This window comes from Homo sapiens, chromosome 5, assembly GCF_000001405.40.
Source record: "Homo sapiens chromosome 5, GRCh38.p14 Primary Assembly".
NCBI classification, from domain to species: domain Eukaryota; kingdom Metazoa; phylum Chordata; class Mammalia; order Primates; family Hominidae; genus Homo; species Homo sapiens.
In genome coordinates this window covers 44,940,565-44,948,642 of record NC_000005.10, presented here as the reverse complement: position 1 = coordinate 44,948,642, position 8,078 = coordinate 44,940,565, and positions in this window count along the sequence as shown.

Below are 8,078 nucleotides of genomic sequence, written 5' to 3'. Positions count from 1 at the left end.
TAAAGAACTACTTTGAATTTCATTCATCCAAGTTTAAAATAATCAAACATATAATAACTACTTTTGTTGCTTATCCTGTCAGTCTAACTATTTTAAGATACTTTGAATTTCACTTGCAAAAGCTAAATTAGCAAACAAAGCCCATAGTACCTTCCAAGGTTTAGTAACTTAGCCTTTGCATTAACTTTGGAATTGATTGTGACCATTATGGAAGTTGTAAGTACAATAAAGTTCTTGAGATCCGATGGCACTTCTGTTGAGGTCTTCAAGTTGGGAGAAAATAATAAGGGGAAGTCCTTCTTAATACATACCACTTTGATGTACAACAAAGTTTCTGAGAGGCTCCTATTTAGAGCACATGAGGCAGCCTGGTTAAGATGTGTAGAAGCATTCCCATGCGGAAAGTTTTAAGCTGTAGTGGGTTTCATATTTTCTACTGTTTGATATTTAAACTTCTGTCCATTCCCTGGGCACACTGCCTTCCCAACATAGGTTGTCATGTTCAGGTACCTTTCATAACATCGATTTTCCCGACTCTATGACATAAAGCCAATCATATCGCAATCAATGATCACAGCTGATGGTTGCTAGAAAGCAAATGCTGATAATTTCCGTGAACATATTTATACTTATAATAGCATAACAATCATATCTACTGTATGTGTGCACTTGTGCCAGAAACTAAGATAAGCATTTATATACATTATCTTATTATCCTTGAGGATATTTTCAGAAGGTATTTCGGTCCTATTTTATAGTTAAGAAGATTTTATAGTTAAGAAGATTCAGGTTTTGCAAGGTAAGGTAATGTGTCCAAGCAACCTAAGAAGAGGCAGAGCAGGCTTTGAACCCATATTTTTTTCACTCCAAGATCATCTCAGACTTGACATTTTCTCCTCGGAAGCACTTTTGGACTTCAGAGATATATGTATGTAGAGTATATACCATATATATAAGTGTGTGTATGTAAGTGTGCATTTTATATATATATATATGCAGACAGAGAGAGGCAGAGAGAGGGAGGGAGAAACAGAGAATACGTATAATAAATGGCTTGTGACTGACAACTTCATTGGCAATGCTGAGAATAATTAACCATAGATAACATCTTAAAGCAATATTACTTAATGAGGTATTCAAGATAGAAAACTTTCTGATAATTGAAATAAATATATCCCTTTGGGCAACAAATGCTTCTCTCTCCCTTTTAACCATTTATTTCCGAGGAACTTCAATCAATGAAATTAAAATGATTTTAATCATATTGGTATGGTCATGACTTTAGACATTATGTGGAGAGGAATGGATAGGTTCAAGGTCTGTGGTATAACTTTATGTAGGATTACAAAGTATCATACCAGTTCCTTTTGATTTTTGATCATGTCCCCCTTTTTCATAAAGTAAAATATTGGAAACACAGCTCTAGCGGTTTGTAACTTGGCTTTCTGCAAAGTATATTTTTGATTCTCTGATTGAAGTTTTTAATTTCCTCTATGATTTCTTTAAACTACAACATTTTCATTGTCAGAAGAAAAGGTTGATACCTGAGCAGACAGAAATCAAGTGACAATTTGCTTCAAATTGCCCTTTAATATTTGACCTAGAACAGAATTCACTGTTTAAGTAACATTATAAGGTGCATCTGTTGGGATGAGAAGAATGAAAACCTTATATGTCTTGCATTGAGTGGACTAACTTCCTTTTTTATACCAAAGAGCACTCTATTTCACAGATTTAAAACAGGAAGAATCATTATTCAAGGACAAAATGATCATTACTCACATGCACACACACACACGTGTGTGTATGTGTGTATATATATATACATATATATATATATTCACCCTTCTTTTTTAAACTCAGAGTCATAGGCACAATGTTATTTGTTGTACTCTATTAAGTTTTTATTTAAATACAAGAAAAATAACTTTAACTGAAAGCACCAATAGATCAAAGCCAGTGAGAAGTTTTCTTGGTGCACTTCCCCCTAGTTTACACTCTATACGTAAATGTTCTAGGTCATTTTTTTAAACACAAAGCGTGATCTATTGTTGGGAAAAATCATAAGAAGAAATCATTCTTGAAAGCAACGAAGTTTATAGAAATATCATATCGAGAGGAAGGATTTTACAAGAGCTGCCAACACCATCTTCCCAACACTTCAAACTAGTGTTCCTCTCAGAAGTGGGCAAAGAAACAACCTTCAAAGGCTGATTGGACACAGTTTTCTTTTTTTCTGGAGGATGTAGAGATTTTGAAAAGCATTTCCTTCAGGCTTGAAAGTTGTCATAAAAGCAGATATCTATACTTAAGGGCACTGTGCTAGTGCTGATGTGCCTAGATGTACTTTAATAAATTCAGTTTGTTTGTGTTTGTAATATGCAAGGCCTACTACCATGAAAGGCAAAGAGCAGGAGTCCTTTTCCCCCAGTCTAAGAGTGAGTGGTACTGCTCAAAACAACTTAACAAAGTCAGTACAATTGCTATCCTCATTTGAGCATATGAGGAAACTGGGGCACAATTGAGGAAACTGGGGCACAATTGAGGAAACTGAGGCACAGAATGATTAAGTAATTTACCCAAGGATGGCGGCTAACAAGCAATAAAGGCAGATCCAAGACAGTCAAGATAAACCTAGAATTCAAGACTTAACTACACTGAATAGTGCCACAAAGCTTTTAGGACTATTGATGACTCAGTCATATGCTGTCTCCACTCCTTACTGACCTCACAGTTCTTCAGTCTTCAACTCAATCTTTCTTTACTGTTGAAGATTTGACTGCTGTCCTGCAACACCTTTGCTTTGAACTGCTTCTATATTTATTGTTATGTTTATTATTTTTAGTTTTTTCTCCCCTCCTTTCTCCCTCTCCTTTCCTCTATATAATTATATCCATCTGTCTTCAGTAATGCCAAAAAAATTAAAATGTCTGCCATCATTTTTCATTATGACAGAGATTTTACAACCTATTAAATCAGACACTAAATTGTGGAAATTGTAATATTATGTTGACTTTATATTTTTCTGTCTTGCTAGAGTTTAGTTGTTCTTATAAAACACAAAGACTTAAATGTGCAGGATGTGATTAAGCTTTGTGGCCACTTTGAATTCTCATGGAATTTTCCATATTGACAGTGCTACTCTTCCACTTATTCATGTCTCCTTTTTGCTTACTATAAAGAATGCACATATTGAATCTTACTGTGTTTCAAAAAAGAATGGTGAGCAGAACTGTGACAGAATTCTTCTGTAAGTATAGAAGTTTTTCTTTTAAGTTAACTTGTATTAAACATCTTTCTTCAATTTTAATTGGAAAGTATTACTGAGTGCTTTGTTTCCAGTCAAAATGGAAAGTTTTACTTCATAAAGTATAACCATAAAACATCGAAGCAAATTCTACAACTCACCTCAGATCATTTAACTACTTCATAGTTTTAAGGGAAATTTCTTAAAGTCCTATTTGCAAATATTTAAGTATGACAGGGAAGTAAAATAAACTGGTGTCAGTTTGTGCAGGGAAGACTTTTCAAATAGTATTGTTATGATTACATTTACCATGATGAGAAAAATCAAGTAATACTATGCAGGTTCCTATGAGAAATGAGTTATGATTTAAAATGCGCCCCAGATAAGAAATAAATTTGTGTTAGCGACATCTGGCCACAAAATAATTTTAATCCTTGAATGTTAGATAAATTTTAGGGGTTTTTTTTAAGCATAATGAAGCAATTGAGTTAATATTATTTATTTTTCTCTAAAAGTCTTAGGGAAAAAGGGTGAGCCTTTGAGAAGTATGTTCCTATTTCCTATATAACCATCTGGGGCCAGTGTGGTGCTTATCCTTTTCTTGTGTATTGAAACAAGATGCAAAAAAAAAAGAGAGAGAGAGAACTGATACCCTATCATGGTTTGCAACAGATACTGTGTATAATCTCTTATTTACTTTGCACTTTGAGGTGGAGTTTAATCCGAATGACTTACCTGTAGAAAAAGCATCAAATGGGAGCCACCTAAAGTTCATCATGGTCCCAAAGGGAATTATTAAGAACCCATTCTTCATCAGCCACATGTGTCTTAAGGAAGTTTCTGAGACTTTTCTGCTTGGAGACCGTGGAAGGGAGAATTCTAAGGATGAGGAGAGTGGGCAGACATTGGATATTACTTACCTTTATTTATAAAATTCTGTATACCTATAAAATAGGTATGCATACACACACATGCACACACACTGACACACATACAGTTTTAAGGTGACTGATTCTAAAAACCACGTGGAGGGGCTGGGAAATCATTTTGATAAGACGATTTTCCCCCTCTAGTTTCTAGAGTTAACATTATTGAACTGCTGTCTTTTCATCAGTGCACAAAAAATACATAAAATGATCTTTCAGTTTTCCGAAACACAGGTTTCCATCCACATCAAGTGTCCACAAAGTACACCAAATCTCAATGGTTTCTATGGCTTTTTTAAAAAAGAATCTTTAGCAACAAAGATTTATTTCTTCTTCAGTAAGCAGCACAAAGAGATAATAAGGATCCCAAAACCAAGTGTTACATTCCATACATCTTGAATAGACCACACACAAATAGAAAGAATGTGTGCTTTAATTGGTTGGCAATAGCCATAAATTATAGTAAAGATGGCTATTAAATACTGAGTGCACACTATGTGGAATGCTTTACATACTATAAAATCCACACCAAATATTGTGGTGGTTAAAAGATAGTTTCTGGAGCTAGACTAACCAGCTTTTATTCCTGGTTGCACCACATCACGAACTGATGACATTGAGCAAGTTCGTTAACTTTTTGTGAGTCAGTTTTCTCATCTGCAAAATGCTGATGTAACAATAGTATCTATTGCATAGAGTTATTATGAGGATGCCTGAGTTGATATTTATAAAGTGCACAGAATTGTACTTGACATGCAGAAATACAAAGGGCATAAAACAAACCATATGGGGCTGGCAAGGCTTTCCCTGTTTCAGATGAAAAACCTGTCTCAGAGAGGCTCACCAACTTTCCTTAGATTGCATGGTTTGTGAAGGCTTGGATTTGGTAGAAGTACTGGAAATGAGGAGGCAAGGTCTGTGACAGACATTGCCAAGTCAAACTTACGGGATATAATTTTTATTATTAGAATTGACAGGACTTAGCAGCTCTTTAATCTTAGGGAGTAAAACACTTCTTAATATTTCCACACTCAACACGACAGTTGAAAATGAAAGCTTCATCTGTTATTTTTAGTTGAACCAAAATGACAAGCTTCTGTCCACTTTTACAAACTTCTTTTAGAACTAAACACCTAAAAAACTTCAGTTCATTTAGGTCGTTGTACCTCCAGCTTGAATGTTAATCTGCTTTTTTCATACTGCTCTTTTTACAGAATGCAACATAATTACGGAAGATAAGTATAAACATGAAGTCATTTAAAAAGATTAATGTGTTCTATCTCCTGCCATTTGCTGAGAAAACGTTGTGTGAAAATTTCACCCCTCCCCCCAAATCTGTACATTGACATTTACAGCAAACATTTTTTAAAGTGAAAGCTACTATGAAGTTAAATAATTTAGAAAGGGCTTCCTAGCAGTGTGTTCTGCAATTTGAGAGGGAGTGAATATCTTTTTACAAAATCACTTAGTGAGCCCTTTTGGAAGCCTCCGCATTTTATTCTGTTGAGGCTTGGTGAATAAGAAAAGAGTGATGTGACAAAGAGTCGGCCTGCTTTTGTTTACTCCTCATTTCCATGGTGTAGTAGCATATTCAGCCAAAGGAATCTTAATTAATTCAAAAGTTTCTAATAATAAAGCTATTGTTGATGTTGTGTAGAAGAAACTACGCATTATGGCAGCCACAAAATGCCTTGGGCATCAAGAATATTTCAGGTTTCTGGAGAGAGCCAAAGCATCACAAGGCTTCATCCTGCCCTTTTTCTTCAACCCACAGCCCCACTGATTTTAAGGGCTCTCAAACAGTGCATCCAAGATTTTGTCTGCTGTGGGGGAGGAGTAACTGAATAGCTTAAGAGGTCTCTGTGTGGCATCTATGAGAGGGAGGGGGGAAACGGATGATGACTCATACTGAGGGGTGACTAACTGGGACCCCAATTTTCTGCAAGTTTTATATTTTTTTGGAAACCATTTCTTAAGCACAATGGGCAGTTTAATTTATCAAATAACCTCATCTTCTGTTGCTGAATAATTCTACTATCAATGTAAAAGGTCCTCAGTAAACTTCACGGTAAGCATGTAAACTTTTTAATCAGTTCCCAGCTCTTTAATCTTAGGGAGTAAATTAGTTAAACAGCCAGAAGTTTTTGCCTCAAATTTTCAGTTACTTTATTCCATGGGTCAAAATAAATCATAGGTGGGGAATTGACAGCTGGAAGACAAGGCACAGTAGAAATATTACAAGGGACAAGGAGACATTTTCTCTAGTTGGATATTTGATTGGAAGAGCAAACTTCCCCAAGGATTGATGCATGGTAACTGTATCCATGGGGATTTCCTCCAAAACAGGACATTAGAGCATAAAAATAATGATACAAAAGTAAAATTACAGAAATAATGCCAAAAGTAAACTGGTATGACATTTAATCACTTTGCCATATTGTAAAAGAAATATATATTAATTGTAAAATACATGTAGAACTTAGATTTGTTTTATTTTCAAATAAAATTTATTTGAAAATAAATCACTGAGGAAAACAGAAATCCCATTCCCTAATGATAGTTTATAATCCTACTACAAATGCCATGTATACTTCAATATAAAAATAACTTTGAAGCCATAGAAAACAGAATAATAAAAGTCATTCATGATCTTCAGGGATCAAGGACTAACCACAGTTAATCAATGTTGACTGGTCAGATGTTGTGATTAATATTTTTACAGTAAGGACATTCAAAACTTAGTTAGGACAACTATAGTTAGCAATAATATATTATATAGCTTCTAATAGCTAGAGGGAGAATATTGAACATTTCCAATTCAAAGAAATAATATGTGTTTGAGATGGTGTATATGCTAATTACCCTGATAGGCTCACTATGCAACACTTCATAGTTAATTTTCATAAAATCAACTTAAAATCCTAGATAATTAAGCCTAGCCGAATTAATACCAAGATGATATATAGCCTATCATGCAATAATAATTTCACATTTTAAACACATGTTGCAATAAACTGAATATTTATGTCTCCCCCACCCCGCCCCGCCAATTTACATGTTAAAATTCTAACCTCTAAGGGGCTAATATTAGGAGATGAGGTCTTTTGGAGGTGATTAGGTCATGAGGGTGGAGCCTCGTGAATGGGCTAAGTGCTCCGACAAAAGAGGCCTGAGAAAGGCCATGTGAGGACACAGCCAGAAGGCACCATCTGTGAACCAGAAAATGGGTCCTCAACAGACATCAAATCTGCTGGTGTCTCGATCTTGGACTTCCTAGCCTCTAGAATTGTGAGAAATAAATTTCTGTCATATAAGCTATAAGCTACCTAGTTTATGGAATTTTGTTATACTAGCTTGAACAGAACAAGACGTATGTATATAATGTTAATGGTCCAGGGTTCCATATTGCTCATTCTCTTTATGAAGTCAAATTTAAGAAGCACATTTTGGCAACAAAAGTAAGTTGAAAAAAAGATTTTATCTTTTAGAGTCCTCCACATCCAACTTAAACCCCACACTAACCTGTTCAAAAGCTGCTTTCCCCACTACCTCGTTATCTCTAATCAGCAGTTGCTTGGGAAACACCCACAATTCAGACAGTCAAATTTTGTTTTCTCTCTTCAGGCCCTTACTATGCTATTTTGAGCGTAAATTACAATTCAGGCACTTTGGCCAATTGCACTCCAAAACCTAATACAATGCCTCCTCACTCTTTAGCTCATCTTTCTTCCTACACATTGAAGCATTAAAAAAATCAACTTGCCACCGGGCACGGTGACTCACACTTGTAATCCCAGCACTTTGGGAGGCGGAGGCCGGCGGATGACGAGGTCAGGAGATCGAGACCACCGTGAAACCCCGTCTCTACTAAAACTACAAAAAATTAGCAGGGCGCGGTGGCGGAC